Source organism: Homo sapiens, chromosome 18, assembly GCF_000001405.40.
Source record: "Homo sapiens chromosome 18, GRCh38.p14 Primary Assembly".
Lineage (NCBI taxonomy): Eukaryota > Metazoa > Chordata > Mammalia > Primates > Hominidae > Homo > Homo sapiens.
Window position 1 is genome coordinate 56046210 of NC_000018.10, and position 25610 is coordinate 56071819.

The 25610-nt window shown below is 38.9% G+C and overlaps 2 long non-coding RNA genes across 3 annotated transcripts in view; one reads left to right on the forward strand and one right to left on the reverse strand.

The window, feature by feature from the left end:
• Positions 1–25610, reverse strand: part of LINC03069 (long intergenic non-protein coding RNA 3069) — a 187650-nt gene that overhangs the window by 42597 nt on the left and 119443 nt on the right. Inside the window, exons 4-6 of the long non-coding RNA NR_148972.1 lie at positions 13895–13995; positions 10333–10450; positions 9696–9845 (exon numbers count right to left, since the gene is read on the reverse strand). This is a non-coding gene — a long non-coding RNA (long intergenic non-protein coding RNA 3069). The remainder of the gene's footprint in view (positions 1–9695; positions 9846–10332; positions 10451–13894; positions 13996–25610) is intronic.
• Positions 1–25610, forward strand: part of LINC01905 (long intergenic non-protein coding RNA 1905) — a 54038-nt gene that overhangs the window by 3932 nt on the left and 24496 nt on the right. For both annotated transcript variants that reach the window (NR_146510.1, NR_146511.1), the window contains exon 2: positions 3871–3968. This is a non-coding gene — a long non-coding RNA (long intergenic non-protein coding RNA 1905). The remainder of the gene's footprint in view (positions 1–3870; positions 3969–25610) is intronic.

The following is a 25610-nucleotide window of genomic DNA, read 5'->3' on the forward strand; positions in this document are numbered from 1 at the left end:
AAAGTTATGAAATAGAGTGATACAGTCAGCAGATCCATTCAACTCTACCCTCAAAGTAAATCCAGGATGCAACCCCTTCTTCTCACCACCTCTGCACTTGCTATTCCAGTCTACAGTGTTTTATCTGCCTAAACAATTGCATTAGCTTGCTAGTTTGCCACTCTGCTTCCACTCTTGTTACAACATAGCAACCGGAGATAGTCTTTTTTTTTTCCTTTTGAGACAGAGGTTTGCTCTGTCGTGCAGGCTGGAGTGCAGTGGCAGAGATAGTCTTTTGAAATGTAAGCAAGATCATTTAAACCTTTCAGTGGCATCAAACCTCACTCATAATAATATCCCAGAGTCTTTCCAGAGGCTGGAAAGTCCTTGTGTCATGCTGCCTGGCCCCGTCTCTGAGCCAACTGCCCACTCTGCTCTCATTCCCTCCTTCCCAAACCCAGTGCATACTTCACTGAAGGTGTCTGTGTCCTTCTCCAAAGATACAACCAAGGCTTGCTCACTTATCCCACTCAGGTTTCCAGTCAAGTCATCAGAACTGAGAGGCCTTCCTGGCCCACCTTTTCTCATTTAGGCCCTCTTCCTTACATAGTTCTCCTTCCTCTCACCACTTTTTTTTCCAGAGCATTTATCATCACTTATATGTATTATTCACACTGTATATTTGTTTATTTTCTGTCTTCCCTGTCTAGAATGTAAGCTTTGGGAGAGCAGTGGCTTTGTGTATTTTATGTATTGCTGTATCCTTAGGGCTCAATAAATATTTGTTAATAAATGAAGGAATCATCCTGCTCTGATCCTTTTAATTTTACCTGGAAAGAAAGAAAGGCAACAAATAATTCCAATAAAGCATGGTAAGAGTTATCATAGGAGAAGCAAAGAGTCATGGGAACAGTAAGAAGAACTAATTGGTTTTCTGGAGGAGGTACTGTTTCAGTTGAGACCTGAGGGGTGAAGTAAGCCCAGGAAGAGAGTTCCAGGAAGGAGCAACAACACCTTCCTCTTTCCCTCCCTTCCCCACCTCCTTCCCTCCCTTCCTCCCTCCTCCATCCCTCTTTTTCTCCCTTCCTTCCTTTTTTTTTGTTCCTCTTTCTTTCTCTCTATTTATTTTATTTAGTTGTAGTCATATCTTCTTGTTCTTGTCATTTTAATTCTTGAGGATGTGATGTGTGCTTCTGGGAATAATTTGGATTGGATAATTTGAACAAGTTCACCTAGGCAAGGTAGGAAAAGTATTTATAAACATGTTAAATATACAGCTGAGTCCTTAATGAAATAAGGAGAGTAAGAGAATCCTCAACCCAAATTAGAAGTACTAAACAAGTGTGACATTGCTGTTATCCTGGGGTGGGGAGGAGCTGAAAATGAGTGCCCAACCCAGGATTATGCAACACAGGAAGACATAATCCATGATGAATGACAGTTATCCGATACAAAAAATAAACAAAAGGATTAGAACCCAAAGAGTTTCAAGTAATAGATTATTAGAGGGATATTATAAAATAATATGTTAAAAATGATTAAAGAAAAAAATTAACAAGTCAGAAAAGCATAAGACATATGAGTAAGAAATAGGAAGCTTTGAAAATAACAATTAAATTTCTAAAATTGAAAAATATAAACATGGAAGGGAAAAGCACAATGGATAGTTTAACCAGATATTCAACATTCAAACAGTTGAATAAAGATTTTCCTAAAGGGTAGCAGAGAGCAATTAAATATTTAAAAGTGGTTAATACACATTGAGGGGAGAAAGAGTGTTTTAATGAGAGTGCCTGAAGGAAAGAATAGAAGAGGAGGAAATATGTGAAGAGATAAGACCTAGAGTTCTCCAGATTTTTTTGTTTGATGGGGTGGGGGTCAGGGGCAGGGTGGACAGTGTCTTACTCTGTTGCCCAGGCTGGAGTGCAGTGTTGCAATCTTGGCTCTCTGTAACCTGTGCCTTCCAGGCTCAAGCGATCCTCCTGCCTCATCCCCTGGAGTAGCTGCGATTACCAGCACCCACCACCATGCCTGGCTATTTTTTGTATTTTTAGTAGAAACAGGGTTTCACCATGTTGGCCAAGCTGGTCTCAAACTCCTGACCTCAAGTGATCCACCCGCCTCAGCCTCCGGAAGTGCTGGGATTATGTGAGCCCCTGCACCTGGCCAAATCCTCCAGATTTGATGAAACACATGAAACGTCAGGATTTGGAGGCCCAAGTGAGATAAGACAACACACAGATACATCTTATGGAAATACCAGAGACCAATATAAAATCTTAAGAGGAAGAAGAAAGAAAGAAAAGACAACCTGTAACAGAACAACCACACTAACTGTAACCTTCTCAGTAATGACAGAAAAAACCAGAAGACAACAGAATAATATCTTCAAAGGGGTAGGGGAAATAACTGTAAACCTATATTTTTATACCCAACCACACTATCATTCATAAATAAGAGTGAAATAAAGAGATTTAGCAGATAAAGGCTGAGTGCTTACCACTATCAGAGCCATGTTGGGAGCAGAAAATAAGGTATATCCATGTGCAATCATAATATGTCTTATGCTTTTCTGACATGTTAATTTTTTTCTTTTAAACATTATTTTATAGTATCCCTCTAATAATCAATAACTTGAAGCTCTTTGGATTCTAATCCTTTGTTTATTTTTTACATCTGATAACTGTCACTCATCATGGATGATGTCTTCCTATGTTTTATAATCTTGGGTTGAGCACCATTTTCAGCTAATCCCCACCCCAGCATAACAGCAATGTCAAGAAGCAGGAATTTAAACTCCAAATGAAAGAATAGGAAGCAAGACGTAGGGATTTAAACTTCAAAGGAAACAATGGGATGCAAACTCATGAGCAAAGAAACCAGTAAATTGTGGGTTTATATAAACAATCAATGATTATATAAAACAACAATAATAATAATTCAAATGAATAATTTGATAAGATATAAAACTAAGATGACACTAAAATGTTGGACCAAATAGCATGTAAGAGGGAGGGGATGGTCAGAGTTAAAGTGCTCTAAGGTACTTGCCATATTAGAGCAGAATAAAAAGATCAGTTAAACTTAGATCTTGTTAGGTCAGGAGACATGTTAAAAAATTAGAAATAATAACTAAAATAATGGAAATAGAATGTATCTCTTCAAAACCAGCAGAGGAAAACATGATAATAAAGAAAACTCAATCACTTCAAAATAAGTTAGAAAAGAAAAAAGGAATAATATAATATGATAAGAATGCAAAAAATAAAGTAGAAAAATATGAAATACATGTGCAATTATAGTAAATCTAAACTGAGCAGTGACAGAAAAATATACTTAATCTGAAAAATTAGGGGATAGCTAGATTAGATAGTCAGCTAACGCAGTAGATTAGAAGGCCCCTGACAAGCGTAAAATTTATAATTATATTTTTATGTGTCTATATGAACATTTATATTAATATCTAATATTTGTTTATATATTTTATGCAAATTAAGCAGGCACTAGATGTTACCATTTCTCAGTGTGGGAAATCAATGTGTCCTAAGGATATGGGTCTGCAGAAAGATTAGCCCAGCAGTAAGTTGGCTCAGCCACCGGAAGAGGGTGCTTCAATGTAGAAATCAATGTAAAAAGAGTTTGAGTTGTTGACTAGGAGTACAACTTATTAGAACTGCACATTTTAAGAAACAGAAGAATAGGGAGATGAATCGAGGTCAAAGCAGTAAAACAAATAAACAAACAGACAAATAAATTAAGAAGTGCCTATAAAAGAGAGAGGAGTTTCACCTTCAGAAGAGCTCTGGGTAGAAAAAAGCATCAACAGTACCCTATATCTCTTTTTCCAATCCAGAGACATTTTGGAAATAACTTTGAAATCTGTTTCCCCAGGTTTGTTTTTCCTCTCTGTCATACCTCAAGAGGAACACAAAGAGTGATGGCCTGTCACTCTGATGCCTCTCTCTACTCAAATGGCAGAAACCAACCAGGTGAGTTGTCATAACTTAGATGAGGCTGGGATAAAAATACACCTTGGAGAGCTAGCTTACTGATGACAGACTGAGAGTTGCTCTTTTTGATTTGAGTGAATTGGAGCTTAAATTCTGTGCCAGCCCATACGAGTGTCTCAAGATGCTTGGGTTAGAAAAGAGATTATATCAGGATTATAAGGTCTTTTGCCTGTCTTCCCTCAGAATTGTCTTTGATTGATAGATAAGTGACCCTCTCCAGCATACTGATTTAAAACTGTAAGTGAAAAAAACAAAACAAAACAAACAAAAAAACAGTTGAAACTTTCATTCAATATTCACTTTGGATTTACCTTTAAAAGCAGCTCAACCATTGCAGAGTTAAACATCCTAATTAATTACATCGTCTGAGAATGCAGCTATTACATGCATCAATGTATTTGTTTTTCATTAAAAGTCAAAAACCCTTCCTTGGTTTCAAAACATAACAATTTTAAAATCCTTAATCCTAAATCTCAAATCTTGATCTTCAATTGGAGTAACTTATACAAACTACTTTGTAGGGTGAGTCTCTCAGCCTAGCCTCTCCTAACCTGCTCAAAAAGGCCCTCCAGCAGGCAATTGGGGTATACTATAGAATCAACCAACAGAAACGCAAAGCTATCTCCACCGTGGCTACAAATGATATCACAATGAGGCGTGCATCTGCTTTGCTGAGGATACCTGTGATTGTTAATAAAGTAAGTGGTAGGAGTGGGGCAGTTTTTCTCTACCTTTTATGATATCTTTCAGTAATAATGACATTGAGCTCCTCACAGGTCATGTCTGTTCATGGCTGACATTTGTTGTTCTGTTCTGATTGGATGATACCTTTGTCTCGGTTTATAAAAGTTTTGAAAATCATCCTAGTCTGAGAAATATTGATGCAATACTATTGTTTTGTTTGTTTTTGATTTTTAGCAAAGCAACTATTGGAGTTTTATTTATAGCTTTATTTATTTATAGCTTCCCCTCACCCCAAGACCAAGGAGTGAGTCCATGGGATTGATTATAAAGTAGATTTGAGTGATTTAAAATCATTTCCTCCTGAAGTCATGAAACCTTTTACTTTCTTTTAATGGTGTTCAATGCATTGTTCTGATCTCATTCTTACCTTAGAATGAACAATTTCCCTGGATACTTTATATTTCCCACAACGGTGACTTTACTCAACATTTTGCCACATATACATAGCCATGTCTGTATCTCAGCTTTGGCTCAAGCAAAGACTTTGAAACATTAATGAAAAATATTAATAAGTGCCTATTGTATGCTGAGCACTTGCTATTTCATGTAATTCTTACATGACATCTTTTACAGGAGAATATCACACAGTGCTCAGATTCAAACTCAAGTCGAAGGCATCCAAAAGCCCAAGCACTGTCTTCACACTTTGTAGACAGATTCTCTCCTTCTTCTTGGATGAGGCTGTCAAAGAACTGGGGAGTAGGGGGATATTCAGACCACATCTTCATGTTCAGTAGAATATCTTCACGTTTTGGAGTGTTAAGTTGGATAGCATCACTTCTAGCCATGGAACTCTTCCAGAAGCTTGAGAACCTGTGAGATTCTTGAGCGACTTGGGACACTCAGAAGGGCCAGGATGAGGTTCAGGGTTGAGCCACTGAGAGCTGGCTGTTCTGAGCTTGATTTTAAGGGAAAGAAGGGGTTGAATTCAAGCTTGCCAAGACCTGGTTTCTTCTATATTCTATCTGCTTTCAACTTGTCCATCTTTATTTATGTAGTGACTAGAGTTATCCTTTTTAGAAACAAACATAATCATACTATTTTCACACTTAATGACTTCTTTTTGAACTCCTTACTCTGATCTTCAATGTTCAGCTGAACTGGCTCCTTTAGGTTTAGTCCCAGTCATTCTTCTTCCCCTCCAACCTCCAACATGCCTTCAGAACTCTGAACATATCTAGGACTTCCATGCCTTGGGGTCACTGCATGTGACATGTCTTCTGCACACCATTTTCCCCCACTATTCTGTCTCACCATATCATCCTGGACATTTTTTACACCATGTTTCTACAATGTATAATTGCTTGCTTATTTATTTTCCATCTCCTCCATCAACTGCAAGCTACGTAGGACAGAGACCATTACTCCTTAAATCATCATGCTTACCCAGAGGCTGCACTGTGCTCAGCACATAGTGAACACTCAGTAAAAACTTGTTGATTGTGTAAGTTAATGAGCTATGCTTAAGAACACTGGTGTCCACAGTTGGACCAAGGTGCAAGGGTCAAGCAGAATTGAGCTTTCCAAGTTTTCACAAACATGCCAATATTAATAAGTAAACTGATTTCCATTCTGAGTTTTATCTAATTTTTCATAAACCACTGCTCCCTGTTAATGCCTATCTATTCTGGAATTTATTGCCAGATGATATGTTATTTAATATGAAGTTGATTTTTTTTATCATAGGTATAATAAATGAATCAATATTAAAAACAATCCCATAGTGTTCCATAAAGACATGGCAACTTCTTTCTGTCCCTCCACCTGAAGAATTTTGAGAACTGCTGGCCTGTGTCACTCATCTGTTACTCCATCACTTCACATTTTACAATAGCTTAAGTGTTCATTCTTATTTTGTTTAAATTTTGTCTCATGGCCTTGAGCACACAACTTGATTGTAAGCATCTTGAAGTGAAAAGTCACAGCTAGCTTTTCTTCTGTCCTCTGAATCCCCCACAGTACCATCCCAGTATCTTGTCACGGAAGATGCTTCACGAATGGGCATTGATTGATTACTTCTCCTTTTCATAATCAGAACATTGTGGCTTGGCTGGGAAGCACAGTGGAACACCACCCTCTATCATTTTTTTTTTTTTTTTGTGAGGCAAAATTTATATGACATAAAATTAAAGATTTTAAAGATAGCAATGCAATGACTTTCAGCACATTCACAATGTTGTGTGATTATTACCTCCTTTCCCTTCCAAAACATTTCCATTATCCCAAAAGGAAACGCCTTGCCAATTACACAGTCACTCCCCTCAATTCTTGTCAACCACTAGTCTGCTTTCTGTCTCTGTGGATTTCCGTATTCTGGATACTTCAGGTAAATGGGGTCATACAGTATGTGACCTTTTGAGTCTGACTGCCTTCACTTAGCATAATGTCTTCAAGGTTTGTCCGCATTGTAGCAGGTGCCAATACTTCATTCATTGCTATGGCTGAATAATATTTCATTGTATGAATATACCGCATTTTGTTTATCCACTCATCTTGATGAACATTGGAGTTGCAGCCAGCTTTTGTCTATTTTGCACTTTCTGTCTTCATCCACTCTACTCTTTTCCATTTGTACTGGAGTTACCTCAGGGAGTAAAACTCTGCAGAAGTCTGGGAGCTATGAATGCTGTCTGCGAACAGACTTCAAATGCTTCCTGAAATTGTAGTGCTTTTTAATTATCAAAAATATAGTGCTTATCAATTTTAGTACTTATTCAGGCTGATACATTTCTGGAAAAGCAAGCCTAAGAAATGAGTTCATTAATGACTTCCACATATACTTTACTTTCATCTGTTTCTACGCTACCCCTAAAATAGTCCTAAGAGATGAAGTGGGTGTTACTATTGCATAGGTAACAACTCCCTAGAGTAAGGCCAGGCCTAAGGACAGTTAGTTAAACTTGGCCTCATGGGGACAGGCTGCACTGTCACATAAATAGACTTATATTCTGGAAATGTTCAAACATGCATACAAATATAAAGGCTAGTTCAATAGACTCCCACACATTTGTCACCTAGTTTCAATAATCCGCATCTGCTGCTCTTATTTTACCGAATATGCTGCTCTTATTTGCCCTACCATCACATTTAAAAAAATTGTATTTGTTGTTCTTATTTATTATTTATTTATTTATTTATTTATTTATTTATTTGTTGCTGGGGTATTTTAAAGATAATTCTAGACATAATATCGTTTCACTCATATGTATTTCAGTCTAAATATCATACGTATTTCAGTCTAAATATCATATGTATTTCAGTCTAAATATCTAGTTTTATTTTTTGAACATAATCACAAAATCATTATCAAGGCCTTCAAACCTCGACAATTCCCCAATATCATCAATTTGTGTTCATTTTTCATGATTGTCCCAATCGTATCTTTTTTAATTGTTGGTTTGTGCAGTTCAGAATCCAGACAAGATTCTAGGAATATTGCCTATGATTAACATGTTCTTATATTTCTTTTAACGCACAACTGTTTCCTCTCTTTGGTGCATTTATTGAAGAGATTGAGAAATGGGCCTATTGTCTTGTAGAATGATTGGATTTGCCTGATTATATCTTTTTAGTGTCATTTAATATGTTTCTCTATCCCTACAAAAATCAGTAGTTAGAACTAGAGGCCTGATTAGATTAAAGTTGATTTGGTGGTGTGGGGTAGAGGGATTTCATAGGTGGTATTGCCTCATATTCTAGTCTTCTCATATAAAGGCATATCAAGGATCGTGTATTTATCCCATTTTCCTTAATATTAAGATTACTCCATGATTTAGTGTTGTGGTAGGTTGAAAAATGGTCCCCCAAACCAAAAGATATCCACATTTTAATCCCCAAAATGTATAAACATTAACTTATATGGAGAAAAGGAGGCTGAGTCTTTGTAGTTGTGACTAAATTAAGGGTTTTGAGATGCAGAGATTATCCTGCATCATCTGGATACCAGATCTGGGACTCAGAGGCCATTACCTGTGTCCTTTGTGAAAGGAAAATATCTTGGGCCCCTTCAAGCTGGGAACCACACAGGGCAAATCTGCCTCCCATTCTACTCAAAGTCATCCCTCTGCTCACAGAGATAGATGCATATTCTGATTGCCTCTTTTGGAAAGACTTATAAGAAACTTAAAAGAATGCAACCATCTGTCTCTCACCTACCTGTGACCTGAAAGTCCCCAGTGGGGGGGCCTTGCTTTGAGTTGTCTCCACCTTTCTCGATGGAACTACTGTACTTCTTACATATATTGATTGATGTCTCATGTCTCCCTAAAATCTATAAAAACAAGCTGTGCCCCGACAACCTTGGGCACCTGTCGTCAGGACTTCCTGAGGCTGCATCATGGGCGTGTCCTCAACCTTGGCAAAATAAACTTTCTAAATTAACCGAGACCTGTCTCAGATTTTCTGGTTTTACAAGTTATAAGTGGGAGGCAGAGGGAGATTACAAAGACACATACAGAAGAGAAGACAGTGTGACCACTGAGGCAGAGATTACAGTTATGCAGCCACAAACGGAGGGAAGCCTGCAGCCAGCAGCAAATGAAAGAGTGGAGGGAACACCCAGAGGGAGTGCAGCCCTGTCAGCACCTTGATGAAGCTGAGTGAAACTGATCTTGGATGTCTGGCCTCCAGAACTGTGAGAAAATAAACTCTTGTTGTTCAAAGCCACCATGTCTGTGGTAATTTGTTATAGACGCTGTAGGAAGCTAGAGTTGACCCTTGAACAATGCAGGAGTTAGGGGCGCTAACCCCCCTGCACTTGAAAATCCAAGTCTACAACTTTTAACTCTGTAAATACTTAATTACTGAGCTGACTGTTGAAATTATTAAGAACTCATATTAAGAACTCAAATATGTAAATAGCCCATTAACACATATTTTGTATGTTACATGTATTATATACTCTATTCTTATAGTAAAGACAATTTTATTATGAAAATGATAAGAAAGCAAAAATGTATTTACTGTTCATTAAGTGGAAATGGATCATCATGAAGGTCTTCATCCTCGTTGTCTTCATGTGGAGTAGGCGAGGAGGAGGACAGGGGAGAGGAGGAATTGGTCTTGCTGTCTCAGGGTTGGCAGAGGCAGAAGAAAATCTTAGTATAAGTAAACCTGCACAGTTCAAATCTGTGTTATTCAAGAGTCACCTTAATAAAAGTATGAGCTAACTGCCTGATTCATCCATTAAAATGTCCCCATCAAGTTTTTCAATACAACAGTACTCCCCAACCCCGCCCCACAACTTATTCTCTGGGGATATGTTCCAAGACCCACAGTGGGTGCCTGAAGCTGTGGATAGTACCGAACTCTATATATACTATGTCTTTTCCTGTGAATACATACCTTTGATAAAGTTTAATTAGTAAATTAGACACAGTAAGAGATTAACAACAATAGGACAATTATAATAATATACTTGTAAGTAAAGTTATGTGAATGTAAGGGGGGCATGGTGGCTCACGCCTGTAATCCCAGCACTTTGGGATGCCAAGACGGTCAGATTGCTTGAGCCCAGGAGTTTGAGACCAGCCTGGGCAATATGGCGAAACCCTGTCTCTACAAAAAAATACAAAAGTTAGCCAGGTGTGATGGCACGCACCTGCAGTCCCAGCTACTCGGGAGATTAAGGTAGGAGGATCAACTGAGGCTGGGAAGTCAAGGCTGCAGTGAGCTATGATTGGGCCACTGCACTCCAGCCAGGGCAACAGAGTAAGACCCTGTTTCAAAAAAAAAAAAGTTATGTGAATGTGGTCTCTCTCTCAAAATATCTTATTGTACTGTGTGCATGGGTAACTGAAATTTACAAAGCAAAACTGCAGGTAAGGGGGGACTACTGTAATAATTTTAGCTGCCATTGATTACTGTTGTCTAGGTTCATTATTTCATTAGCTAGTGGAAAATAGTGATTTTCTAATTCTTTAATTTTTTCTGCATTTATTATGCATGATTCTTCTATATAAAGAACAACTGTATTCCTCATCAACTAGCTGATTAGCCTGAGTTCTAGTCCAAATAGGGAAAGACAAGAGGAATGCTTGAGATTTTTCCCTTAATTGATACACTTTCAGAATAATGAGTTGGTTCCCTAGCAACCTCCAAGGTGATCAATGAGATTTTTTGTTTGTTTATTTTTGAAGTATCATTATGAACTCATCAGTTTTCATATATTTGACAAGTTTCAATTCATTATAGTCATTATCATTTTTGATGCTTAAACTGTCCTATCTGTAATCTCAGGGGAGACCCTCCAGGCTTGATCTGCTTTAGAAAAGTCGAATAATGGCCGGGCGCGGTGGCTCATGCCTGTAATCCCAGCACTTTGGGAGGCCAAGGCGGGCGGATCAAGAGGTCAGGAGATCAAGACCATCCTGGCTAACACGGTGAAACCCCGTCTGTACAAAAAAAAAAAATCCAAAAAATTAGCCGGGCGTGGTGGCGGGCGCCTGTAGTCCCAGCTACTCGGGAGGCTGAGGCAAGAGAAAGGCGTGAATCCGAGAGGCGGAGCTTGCAGTGAGCTGAGATCGCGCCACGGCACTCCAGCCTGGGCAAGGGAGTGAGACTCCATCTCAAGAAAAAAAAAAAAAAAGAAAAGTCGAATAGCCCTGGCAACTGAGTAAAGATGGGGCACTGTGGATTTGAAGGGTAACAATCGATGATGGAATGCTGATCTTCTTCCTGGTCTCCTTTGTGTGAGTCTCATACACACTCTAAAAAAAAAATCAACTATGAAGATACTTAGTAAATCTAACATCTTCCCATTTCTTAATATGGTGACTCTCAACCCTAACTTCACAGTAGAATCCTCTGGGGAACTTCTTTTTTTTTTTTTTTTTTTTTTTGAGACGGAGTCTTGCTCTGTCGCCCAGGCTGGAGTGCAGTGGCACGATCTCGGCTCACTGCAGGCTCCGCCCCCTGGGGTTCACGCCATTCTCCTGCCTCAGCCTCCCGAGTAGCTGGGACTACAGGCGCCCGCTACCACGCCCGGCTAATTTTTTGTATTTTTAGTAGAGACGGGGTTTCACCGTGTTAGCCAGGATGGTCTCGATCTCCTGACCTCGTGATCCGCCCGCCTCGGCCTCCCAAAGTGCTGGGATTACAGGCGTGAGCCACCGCGCCCGGCCTCCTCTGGGGAACTTCTAAAAAATACTTCTGTCGGGAATCCACCCCATGAGGTTGAGATTCACTCCTTTAGGTTAGGGCATTGATATGCTTCAAAAACTGCCCAGGTGATTCTAGTGTGTAGCCAGGACTGAAAACCACTGTCTAATGCATCTAGCATACCTCTGAGATGTTTACTTTTTTAAAAAAACAAGCCCTGGTCTTTTGCCTTCTGCAGGTAAGAGCCTAACATTGATCGCACATGGAGCAAGATTAAAAGGGTGCCTCATCATATGTTTTCTTGCCTCCATATTCAACGAGGATTCTGCCATTAACCACATTACCAGAACTGAATTAAAAAGCAAAACTGGCCAAGTGTGGTGGCTCGTGCCTGTAACCCCAGCACTTTGGGAGGGTGAGGTGGGTGGATCACTTGAGGTCAGAAGTTCGAGACCAGCCTGGCCAACATGGTGAAACCCTATCTATGCTAAAAATAGAAAAATTAGCCAGACATGGGGGCATGGTAGCACATGTCTGTAATTCCAGCTACTTGGGAAGATGAGGCAGGAGAACAGGAGAATCACTTGAACCCAGGAAGCAGAGGTTGCAGTTAGCCAAGATCACTAGAGACACTGTCTCAACAACAACAAAAAAGCAAAGCTACCATCCTACCCTAACTCTAATGCCTTTGTTTGTTATCTGTAGTCCACATCCAGCCTTACCTTCCTGGCCTTGCTTCCTTCTCCAGACTTTGTCTACCACTTTATAACATTTGTCTACAGGAAAATCTCCCTCAATAGATTGTATTTGGGGTTGCGTCTTATCCACCCTTGTAGTCTTACATTCTCATAATGAAATGGAATAGAGATTTAAATACAGTTAACATTTAGTAAAGTTTTCTTTGGTGCAAGAAAATTACCAGGATAATTCTGTTTTATTTTCTACTCTTCCCCTTCATCCCTTCAGCCTGTTGAAGTCTACTGGATAAGTAAATAATTTATAAATTTCCATGCTTTTTATCTGCATATGATTTATATAAATATTCATTTTGCTTCAGTTTGTTCAGTAAAGGCCTCTGGGTAAAGAATTCCAAATTGTATAAAGACGTATAAGATTTAACATGCATCTCAACTTTTAAAAGTTTCTCTTTTTGAATATATCTAGTGATGATAAAGGTAAACAGGTGTTTGAAAACATACTGTTGTGAAGTACCAACCTGGCAGAAAACCTGTAGCATTTATAACGAGAACATAATCCAATTGAATCTGTAATTAGCACTTTTGAAATGTGCTCATTATTATTGTTATGATTAGCTGCAAAATGATGCAGCTTTGGCTCACACCCATTGGAATTTTAGGGTGTGATTCTCGCCCAAAAGCAGTCAGTATAGAACCCAATAAAAGAACTACGTTGCAGATTTTCTAGAAGTCTTTTCATGTTAAATATCCAATGGGGGCTATCAATTAGATGTAAATTATTTACTGTGTCAAAGAAAATTTTCACTTTTGGAGATGCAGATTTTTATGAGACATAACCTAATGATTTGAGAAAAGTTAATACACCCATGCATGGAATCTACTCGGGAAGTAATCCTGGAAAAAAGGAATAGTCATGGTTGAAGAGACATATCACAATGGAGTGGAGAGAATTTTAGAATTCAGAGACTTGTTTTTATTGAACTTCTAAAGGAAGCTACTCCCAGCACTTCTCAGGCCATAGAAGGGTCTGACTGACTTTATCCCTGGTAACTCCCACGGGAAAAGATTTGATTCCCAACCAGCTTGTAGTTCCCTTCATTAACAAACATTTATTGAATCACAGTGCGCTGCATTCAGGGCTGCTGAAGAAATAGGAATGATTTAGTAAATTGGATATATAAAAATAGGAGGGGATCTTGGAGACAATTACAAAGCAACATGTTAAGAGAAAAAGCAATAATTGTGAGCTCAGTGCTAATTATTAAGGGAAGGACCCAGAAAAGGTAATAAGGTATGGGCCAGCTAGTGAGGAAGAGATTTATGGAGAAGGTTCATTTTGATTCAGATTCAAAATAACACCTTTACCTTATTGGTAGGATGGTTAGGAGATGCTCTTTCAATAAGAGAACTGACACAAGTAAGGCATGGACCTGTTACCATTTGAGCCTTGGGTAGGGATGTCCAACCTGTTGATTTGATTAGAAAAGAAGAACTTGCTAGGCACTGTGCTTGGCACATGGTCAATAAGTGTTTGTAGGTGCCCAATAATAGTAGATACTCAAAAAGTATTTGAAGGTGCTCAATAAATATTAGAGAGTCAATGACTTTGACTTTCCTGTCACTCATATGCCAGGAGGGTGTATAAATAACACACTAAGAAAATCTGACTTAAAGCTTCACAATGATTTAGTCCAACTCCAGACAAGATGTACCCGTTTAGTTGCAGTCCTCCATGGACCTTACTCCAGTCCAACTCTGCTCACTTATATTACCTAGTTGACTCTGTATGTCTTTGATTGTATGATTCTGGTCTGGGTAGAGTAGACAGAATGTATGATCTAAGCTTACCCATATGATCATAAGCCTAGATGTTGGGAAGACAATGACAGTTTCAAAAGAAAAGAAAATAAGCAGTTATGGAGGCCGCCTTGCCTTTCAGATAACCTCTTGAAACCAACCCAATAGTCCCATAGGCAGTTTTTTTCTTTTCCTATAGTAACATAGAAATGGACTCTTCTGGTCTTAAAGCTTGAAACTCACATTGGTTTTATCTGAGTTTCTTTGTAAGGAAAGGGCCCTCAGGCCTTTCAAAAAGTGTCAAAGAACAGAAACTCATCATGTAACCACATCCAGCCAATGGGATGTCAGACCCCTCATTCATCATGATTGCCTCATGACCCCTCCCTAATTCCTGTTTTCCCATGCATAGTCACATTTCTTCCCTGCTGTAGAAACCTCTATTTTTAGTTGTTCAGGGAGATGGATTTGAAACTGATCTTCCATTTCCTTGGCTGCAGCACTCGATGAAAGCCTTCTTCTTTGGCAATACTCATTGTGTCAGTCATTGGCTTTCTGTGTCAGGGAACAGCAGGACCTAGATCGAACCCCTGGCATTTCAGGCACACTCTTGCCTCAGTCTCAGAGGTGGTCTCCTGCATGCTGTATCTCTGCAGAGTGATTTTTGTCTCTCATCTGACCCACCATAGTTCTTTTCTTTCTTCAACAAACAGTTATTGAACTCCTATTTACCAAGTGCATTCCTAGAAAATAAACAAGACAATGGAAGCTTCAGGGATCTCAGAGTTTTAAGAGGTGAGCCAGTGGAGGGATCAGGTCTGTGAAGAGCTTGCTTGTACACAGATCTCTCCCCAGAGATTCTGATTTAATTGGCCTGATGTGGGGCAGGCTGCTTACATTTGTTCCCCATAGCAGGTAATTATAATTTGCAGCCACAGTAGAGAATCACTGTGGTTCTCAAGAGTGGTCTTCAGACCAGCAGCAACAGCATCTCCTGATAACTTGTTAGAAATGGAGATTCTCAGGCCCCACCCCAGCCCTACTGAATCAGAAGCTCTGGTGCAGCAGAGGAAATAAAAAACAGTGCTATGTATTTCAAGAGGCCTTGCAGGTGATTCTGTTGAACACTGAAGTTTCAGGATTACTGAGCTAGGGAAATTGGCTCTGTATTGAGATACTAAAGAAAACTTCCAGGTATCCTCTCTCATACCATTTTCTCCATGAAATCCTAATCTTATTCCTTACTATTTTAATGATCTCTTTAGAACATAATTTATTTCCTATTTTTTTCCCTCTTATTTATTTCCATACTATACATATATTAAGGGCCTGTAGGATGCCAACTTAATTCAATCCCAACTCACCAAGTATTCATGTATGAACCCAATCGTGTCATAGGCACATTATGGGACTGTGGTTACTGAAGGCTGAGAAGGGTAGGAGAGAGGGAAGGATAGAATGAGGCTGGTTAAAAGACACATAATTACAGCTAGATAGGGAGAAAAAGCTTTAGGGTTCTATAGCACTGTAAGGTGACTATGGTTAACAATAATTTATTGTATATTTTCACATAGCTAGAAGAGAGGATTTAGAATGTTCCCAGTGCAAAACAATGATAAATATTTGAGGTGATAGAAAGGCTAATTATCCTGATTTGATTGTTACACATTGTGTGTATCAAAATACTACTCTGTAGCCCATAAATATTTGCAATTATTTTATGTCAATTAAAAATATTTTTAAAAGAAAGCTCAAAAAAGTGAAAGTACAACACAGAGTTCCTGGAGCCTTTGAGGAGCTAGGAAATGGAAACCAGGGCACTGTCACAGGCAATGTGCTGGTAGGCACTGCAGGAGCTCCAGGGAAGAATGGAAACTCTATGGGAAATATGGGAAAAGCAATCCTGGACAGCTTCAAGGAGCAAGGCAAACTTGAGCTCAGCCTTCAAGCATGGGTAGAATTTGGACTCAAGGAAGGACACAGGGAATATTAAAAGCAAAGAAGCTCTTTATGACTACCAATGAAGACATTAACCTGACCAGAGAGGAGGATACAGAGCTGAGAGATGGATCGGCCTTCCCCGTGGAGCACTCTGAGACATGTCATAGCTCATTGACATCTCGCAATACAGGTCAAAAAGGTAGATTTTTATTTCACTTACTGTAAATGTGAGTTAGAGCAAATAGGCTCCTGATGGTTAGCTGGGCTGGCTACTTTAGCCTTGCAGGAGGCAGTGTATTACAATGGCAGTAGATGTTTGGGAGTCAGGTGTATAATTTTGGCTTCACTACCTACTGGGTGTGAGGCTTAACCTCTCTGAGTTTTAGTTTCCTCTTCTGTACAGTAGGGTTAATACATTTTCCCTAGGTCATTTCTAACTTTTATATAAGCTCACAAATGTAAAACAAAAAACTGTATGGTAGGATATTTCTAGGCAAATCAATGTATGTTATGGTCCCTCTTGCTTTTCTTTGACTTAAATGGAATCAATCATTGCATTGGATAAGAAGGGAAGCAGTACTGGTTGAGTGAACACTGTGAATTTGGAGGACGTGTGCTGGACCTCAGCCATACCTCTAACACATTGGGTAACCTTGGACACACAACGTGACCTCACAGAACTCCAGTTCCCTCTGTCATAATCTGGAATGATGATATCAATCAAGTGAAGCAGCTATCACAGGGTCTGGAACATAGTAAGTCCTCAATAAGTTCTAGCAATTATTAAAAAAGGAAAGGCTGTCTGCAAACAGGTGATCTCAGAAGGGGGTTTGTGCCTCTCTAGGAAGGAAGCCTCATTGTGGACATCTGGGAGCAGGTCAAGTTCTTCACCTCTGCTTCTTTTGAAGCACCCCACCCCCATGCTTCCCATTAGAAACTTTGCAATCTGTTTTTCAGAAGAGTGGTCAATTATTGACTCAATATTAGAAATGCTGCTCAGAGTACATAATGGCTGACCTGGGAATATCTCTTTAGTTAAATTAACACCTACAAAAGGCTCCAGGCTTGCCGCCAAACCAATGCTTTAATTTTCTTCCTAACACCCAGGTCTGTGAAAAAGGAAAATGGTCAGAAGTCAAAAAATAAATCTCATCTCCAAACTTTCCCCTCTTTCCACCCACCCCCAAATCCCTCCTATAGCCCCAATCCTCATTTCGATTATATCCAAAACCTTAAATGGAAGAATCCAATTAGCTGTCATATTTTCAGCTAATTTACAAATCTCTTAAAAGTTCCAAGTTTAGCTTTCACATTGTTCCGTGGACACCATAAAAATAAAGGCACTGAGAAGCCTTTGGATCCTTGCTCTGCTGAAGCACTTCCTTTCCATATTTTTTGCTTCTCATTTTACTCATTACTTTACACGAAGCTGCAGCTCTCAGGACGACTGCACACCCACTGTAAACCTCTATTATTGATCATGTACTTACATGGTTGGTGGCGTTTTATGTAAGAGGAATAAATGATATAGTTGTTTCTATCCATTAAACTATACTGTTATCAAGGGATTGAGAAACTGCCCTGAACATGGCAATTATTTTCGGAGGTTCTGTAATGTTTAAATATAATTGCCTAGTAATCTTATATTTACTGTGTGGTGGCAAAGTACAGCTAGCTTCATGTTTGCACCTTATAAAACGTAAGGACATTTAGCGTGCTTAATTCTCCGTTGTCTTCCTTCTCCTGGCCTTTCTCTTTCCCAATGCTATATCCCCAGGCATTGGACTATGAGACTTCTAGATAATTCCCAAGTACTGTAATTTTTTTTCCATACTACCTCATCCTTGGAGATCAGTAATTTCCTACTTAGTATGATGTGGGGCTTCCCAGGCTCTGGCCATGGGGAAAGGAGAGATGGGGTCTCTGAGGCACAAAAGACTTTGCATGATTAGTAGAGCTCTGAGAATCAAGGAAATACGCCTGGCAAGCAAACACCCCAGCCCAGAAGAAGCTTAATTATAGTCAAGGGAAACTAGTCCTTCCTTAGTGGCAGTCGCCTCTGCCCACGTGCTTGCACATGCGTGTGCACACGCAAGCACGAGCAAACTCTCATGCATCGTCCATATGTGAATTCTTTTTGGAAGCTCATTTGCTTCTTCTCACTTCCTCCCCTTACTGGGTCCTAACACGGGCACATTTAAACCCTATCCTTTCTATCTTCAGCTCCCCAGACGAGCCTAATCTGACCTTGCTTTAATTTTTTAAGCCATTGGTGGAGAAAGCCTTGAAACTTTTCAAGACCAAATGATACAAATAAAATAACTGGGAGCTTGCTAAAATGAGGCCAGGAGGCTTTTAAACTTTTTACTGAAGTAGAATAGAGCCCAGGATTTTTAGACGTTTTCTGTTTCTCTTTGAAGTTGCCAGGAATTTGCCAGTGAGGTTTTAAATGCGCTTCTACTACTGACTTGCAGGAAGAGATTTCTAGGCTTCTCATGCTACCTCTGATGATTGCAATATAGAATCCAAATGTTTGATTCTTTCTTTCTATAGGATTTGACTTTTCCAACCTGTGAAGGAGGAAAAAAACGGGAATAATATCTTGTTCTATTCCCATAAACAAGATACACAAGGGGAACCCAGAAGATTTGGTTTGGCTTAGGAGAAAGTCGGTTTAGGCTTCAGTGCATTTTAGAGCATCCTAAGGGTGCAGTCTTGTGCCTGCTTTTCCTCATTTGAGATTCAAGGTGTTCTGCCTGGCTGGCTTTCCAGCCCCTGGGAGGCCGTCTGCTGCTGTTGGCCCACAGTCAGAGCACATATACCTTCATTAGCCAAATCTTTGTTCCCCTTTGTGCTTCTCTTCCTCCAACTTAGTAGAAAGCAGCTTTGGAATTTGCTTCTGTTTTTCACATGCTGACTTACAGGAGCAAGGCAGGGTCCTGGGTAAGCATATGGACTCTGGAGTCAGCTGCTTGGGTTCCCGACCCCAGCTCCTTTTTTTTTTTTTTTTTTTGAGACGGAGTATAACTTCACTCTGTCGCCCAGTCTGGAGTGCAGTGGTGTGATCTTGGCTCACTGCAATCTCTGCCTCCTGGGTTCAAGCAATTCACTTGCCTCAGTCTCCCAAGTAGCTGGGATTACAGGTGTGCACCACCATGCCTGGTTAATTTTTGTATTTTTAGTAGAGACAGGGTTTTGCCATGTTGGCCAGGCTGGTCTCAAACTCCTGACCTCAGGCTCCTTTCTTTACTGAACATTTTATTGTAGAAAAGCCCCTTATCTTCTCTGTGTCTTAGCTTTCCCATTTGAATGTTGAGGGTCCTGAAAACAGTGACTTCTAAGGGCTATTTCTTGTGTGAGTTGATTGAATCAATGTGTGGGAAATGCTCAGAACACCACTTGCTCTGATTCCTGAAGGTCTTCTTTAGACTGTCCTTGGCTCACCACATCTAGATGGATTCTATCTCCACTTATCCATTCTTTTGATCTTGGTGACTGCCTCTCTTTATAAGCCTTATCTTCTCTGTGCTAAAACAATTGATTGATTGAATCATAATAATGACAAGCATAAAAGCAGTGAAGCCTTCTCCCTTAGCATTGGGGAGGTGGAGGGGCCAAGCCAAGTGGTCACTTGCTTGCATTTTTCACATTATTAGTGATCTTACATGGATTTGCGTTGGTTTTTCAGGGTTGCCTTTCCTAGATACTACTCAGTTTTCTTTTTTTTCCTTATGCAACCGTACCCCATAAGGAGCTTCTTACCATGAAGCTCCATTACAGTAGGGCAGACCTGGAAACACATGCTTTTGTTCAACACTCCCCCACTTTTATTTTTGCTTTCAGAGAGTCTATGAACATTTTCCAGGCGAATCCACCCACCCTGGTAGAGACCCTCAAGGGACCAGGAACACAGGATCCAAGGATAGGGCAGGAAAATTCCACCTCAATCCCTCTCCCAAAGTTCCCTATTTCTCCTCCCCTATATTCTAACCGTAGGCCTGCTGAGGCCCCAGGGGTGGGATACTGCACTTAAAGCCTTTAAACCCATCAAGATTAAGGTGTTTTTTTTTTGCTGGTCAGCTGAATTTTTCTTATTCTGTTTATTGGGTGGGGGGTGGGGGAAAGAGGCTGTTTTCTAAAGGAATGAAGGAATAAAAGAACAAGAGTGGGTATGGGAGAGTAAGGATAATTTCACTGTTGTCTCAGAGAGTTGAGTCTCAGGGCTGGTAAATTCTCAGATTCGACACTGTATTATGACATAGATCAGCTGTTATTTTTTCAGTCTCAGAGGAAACCTTGAGGAATCTCATTCCTGCAATTGTATTAAATTATCTGCCAATATTGTCTTTTCCACTCAAAGTACTTTCATTGAAACATTTGGCATGGAGTGCAGAAACAGCAAAATCTCTTTAAAAGCTATTGTTTCTTTGAATGTTTGGTTTACCTTTTGGTTCCACAGTAAAATAACTTAATAAATGAAGGATGAGTGGAATTGTTACTATAGCAATCCCCATAGTAACATCAAAATGCCACACACACTCGTGCTGCAAGCCCTGGGCTTTCTCCTAGTCCTCCCACATTTCAGGTTCAGCTTCCCAGGTTAAGCTCTGATGGCTTAAGATGTAAGGATATTATATTAAATCCATTTTATTTCCATCCCCAAGAGTTAATAGACTCACAAAATACCAAGAATTTTTATCCACTTCTATCCTTTGCAGAAAAGTCAGAAGTGAATTTTCTATGAGCTTGACAGTATGTACAAACTGCTTGCATTTGAGTTGCTCTTCCAATTTTAGGTCTGTCCTTAAAAACAATAACAACAATAAACCCAGTCAAGGCATGAATTGCTCTTTGTTGATTTCCATAGTCTTACATAACTTACATGGGGCAGGACTAGGAGAGGAAACATCTTCAGAATGCAGCACTGTGGGAACACACATGTTTTTAATCTCCTATTTTCCAGAAGATAGCCAGAAGGGATCCCCAAGAGGTCACTTGGAAAAGCCTTTTGCCACCTGGTAGAGTTATAAATCGATACTCTGATTAAGATTGCTGTTATTAGGTTGAATGAATGACTGAGAGGCTACGGAAAAATTTAATGGGAGGCAAAAGCTGATTTTGAACATCATGTCGTATCTTTATATAATAGGTGGTCATGCATACATGTAAATATGTATATCACTGTTTGTGCATATTTAGCACAAATTTATAAACCAGATGCTGAATATCAAGTAGTAGATCTGTGTATCCTGTTTCTTAGCTCGTTGTATCTTGAATATTAATACTCTTACCCTAAAGGCAGAAACTACAATTGGAAAGCGATTGTGTTAAATTCAGAACCGGTGGGGCTATAAAGTTTTGCAGCCCGGAAAACTCAGTGAGCTTATTTCCCAAGAAGAAAACTTCACTAGATAGAGAGGAAGAAAATAAAAAATAAAGCACAAGCCATAAAGAACAGACAATTCATAATAGAAGAAATATGATCATTAGTAAACATGTGAAAAACATCCAATGTTACTACTAAGCAAAGAAATAGAAATAAAAACAAGCATAGTAGGATGTGGAGGGGGGCTTCTACTGCTGCTCTGGAGTCAGCACTAGGCCCACAGCCAAAAACAACAGGTGCTAAGTGCTCAACATGTAAAAGAACAGCCAGACCCCAACCCCGCATCATCATTATATAAGCAGAGGCCTGGAAAGGAGGCATGAGGGACAGGATCAACCCTGGGAGTGGTCAGGCAGTGTGGAACTGTTACTCACCCGGGGTCACTCCCTTTTCTCCCAGTGGGCAAGGGAGAGGCTGCCCACTCTCCCCCAGCAGAGGAGCTTCACAGATAGTCACCCATTGAGGTTGAAGTTGCAGACTGGTATTCACTTTCCTGGCTAGAACTCTGCTTCTGGATGAACAGGCTTTCTGATCTGCTGCTGTGCCTATCTAATTAGGGATGAGAAATGCAAGAAAGTTACAAGATGGGGTGGTCAAGGAGCAGCCTGCACTTCCACCAATGGGTATCCCCAAGGATGCATACATTTCTAGTGAGTCATAAGGACACCAGAAACTGTAGCTAGTATTCACATGCTCAAAAAGCCTGCCCAGTGGGTGAGATGATTCCAGTGATGGAGACTGAGAGGAGATACAGAGATTGAGATTAAGCCTGATTTCCCAGAGCAGGAAAGTGTGTCAATGGGAGCTCTAAAAGACCAAAAAGACTACATCACTCCTTGGAAGAACCAGAACCTCAATGCCTGCCATGCAGAGATATCAATGTCTGCTTAGTCTAAATAAGAAAAGTAGTAACACCCCACAGGAAAAATATTGCTATTGTGTCCATATAAGTAGAATGTACTGGCCGTATTCCCTCACACTCCCTTTCTCTGATACAATTGCTTCATGGATATACCTACGTTGAATTGAGATTGCTCAACTAACCTGTCATATAATGATGAGGTATTGTTTGCCTACTGAGCTGTCGTTAACTCTTTAAATACCTAGATTTGTGAGGATGTAGTGAAGGAAGACACACCCGCTGGTTCAAGTATACCTTGGTTCATCGGTTCTGGAGGGAATTTTGTCAGTTACATATTTAAAAACTCTTAAAATTTGGCATGCTATTTGATGTAGTGACTCCTCTTCTATGAATATTCACTAAAGATCTAATCAGAAGCACAAATATATTTAAACAAAAAATATTCATTGCATCCTTATTTATAAGAGTAAAAAGAGGAAACCTGAATTTCAAGTTGGAAATGACTACATAAGTTGTGATGTATCCAAATAGTAAAATACATGCTACCATTAAAATTGTACTTCAAAGACCATTTAATATTTTTGTGCAATGCTCATAGAGTGTTTAGTAAAAATCAAATAGGATAAAATCTGTCATACATAAGAAATAGAAAGGAAGAGTAAAAACATATCTAGTAGCAGAAGACATGTATATATCTGGAAATCCCAAAAAACTCAATGGAAAAAGTACCACAAGTGATAGAAGAATTTAGTAAAGTAGTAGATAGAAAAAAAAATTATCATAAACAACCTTCATATATACAAACTAAAAGTAGTTAGAGGATATATAGAAGATTTATTTAAGATAGTAGTAATGATAAACCTAAGCATAAAAAGAAACAAAAATTGTACAAAATCTATGTGAAGAAAACTAAAAACACTCCTGAAAAATGTAAATGTTGACTTGAAGAAATGGAAAGTCATACCACTTTTGTGGATAGACAACAGTCAGTTCTCCTTTAGTTAATTTATAAATGTAACATCATTCAAAAATACCATTTAGAAGAAAAAATAAGCTAGAGTAGTCAGGAATTCTTGCAAAAGAAGAGCAACGAGTTTGGGAAGGGTTGGCTATATCAGATATTTAAGTACATTATAAAGCCTTTATAATTAATACAGAAGGATATACACACACGAATAGATAGATCAATGAATAGAAATTCCAGAAATAGACCCAATTGCATATGGAAATTTAATACACAATAAAGGTGACATTTCAGATTGGTGGTGAAAAGATGGACTTTTAAATAAGTGGTGTTGGGATAAGTGAATAGCCATATGGAAAAAGATAAAATTGGATCCATTTCTCACATTGTAAGCCAGGATAAATTCCAAAAGACTCGGAGATCTAAATGTGAAATAAATGAAACTATACATGTTTGAAGAGAAGACATGGATATTTTCCTCCAATAGCTAGGATGAGGAGAACTGTCTCAACTACTTATCAAAATCCAGAAGCATTAAGGAAAAAGTTAAACTTGATGGCATTAAAAAAAATACGTTTGCAAGGAGAAAATACTCTAAGCAACGTAAAGAAAAATGACGAATGGGAAAAACTGCAACTTTTATCACAAAGGTTGAACATGTCTAATATATAAAGAGCTTCTAAAAATAGAGAAGAAAAAGACTGCAACTTGGTAGATAAATGGGCTAGGGAAATGAACAGACTGTTTCTTAAAAAAGAAAAGCAAATGGCTCCTAATTATAATATGCTCAGCCTTGCTCCTAATAAGAGAAAAGCAAAATATAATATCCTGTCCATTTCTCACATACCAGATTGGCAAAAATCCAGAAGTTTGGAAAATATACTCAGTTGGCAAAGTTGTGGGAGAGCAGGCACTCTCTTACACTGCTAGTGGGAAGCAAAATGATACCACATCTGTGGAAGGGAATTTGGCAATATCTAACCAACTTACATTTACTCACTTCTAAGACTCCATCATAAGGACACACTGGCAGACGTGAAAAGAGAAATGTCGCCCAGATGCATTCTATATTCACTGCAGCCCAACTGTAATAGTAAAATATCAGAAATAAACCAAATATTCACCCAGAGGGATCTGTTTAAGTAAATGACTGGTAAATCCACGTGATAAAATACTATGCAGTTGTAAAGAAGATTTAAAAATCTCTACAAAACTGCATTGGAACAATCCCAAGGAAAAAGCAAGGAGGAGAAAGTGTTTATGTTATAAAACCATTTATCAAAAAAAGAGGAAATGCTAATATAGACACATATTTGAATAATTGTATTTAAGAAAATTATGAGAGAATAAACTTTAAAAGGTATTTATCTATAAGGAAAGTAAGCGAACAAGGTAGAGGTGGCTGGACATGAGCTTGGCTTATCTGATTATATCTTGTTTTGTTAAGGGGGACTTTTGGAAACTTAAAATATTTTTACACAATTATAGAGAAGTGTTTTTAAAAAGTGATCATTAAAAATCTGAAGCAAAAGAAATTGTTTTTGAGTTGGTAGCCTAAATATACCAAAAGGAATTATTACAAATGATATTAAAACTCAAGAATGTATTTGGTCATCCTTAGGGTGATACTGTTCGAGAACAAGAAGAACAGCAGAAGAATGTTAAACTGTTTTATGTAATTATGTTAGTGATGATAACATTGATACTATTTTTCTGCGACTGTATTTTGTGTGCTTACAGGATAAAGTATGCTATTGACCAAATTATTGTTGCTGTATCTTCTCTTAAAAATATTTTCCAGGTCTGTATGATAAAAAGTACTAGAAGTAATGTCAACACAATAGCAATTGGTACCCTTAACACACAGATTGTGGTTTCTAAATATCATACTGAAATAAACAGAACACGATTTCATGTCTAGGGTAGAAAATAAACAGTATGGATCTGGAACATTTTGTCATTCTGGAGAGCAATGATGCTATCAAGGATAATGGTCATGTTAAAAGGACTCAGGAGACAACTTCAAGAGATTCCTCTGGCCAAACATGGGGCAGTTTAGTATCACTAAGAATAATAGGTGCAACCCATTGAAAACACACAAAACTGTATTTACATTTATAAGTTCACAATG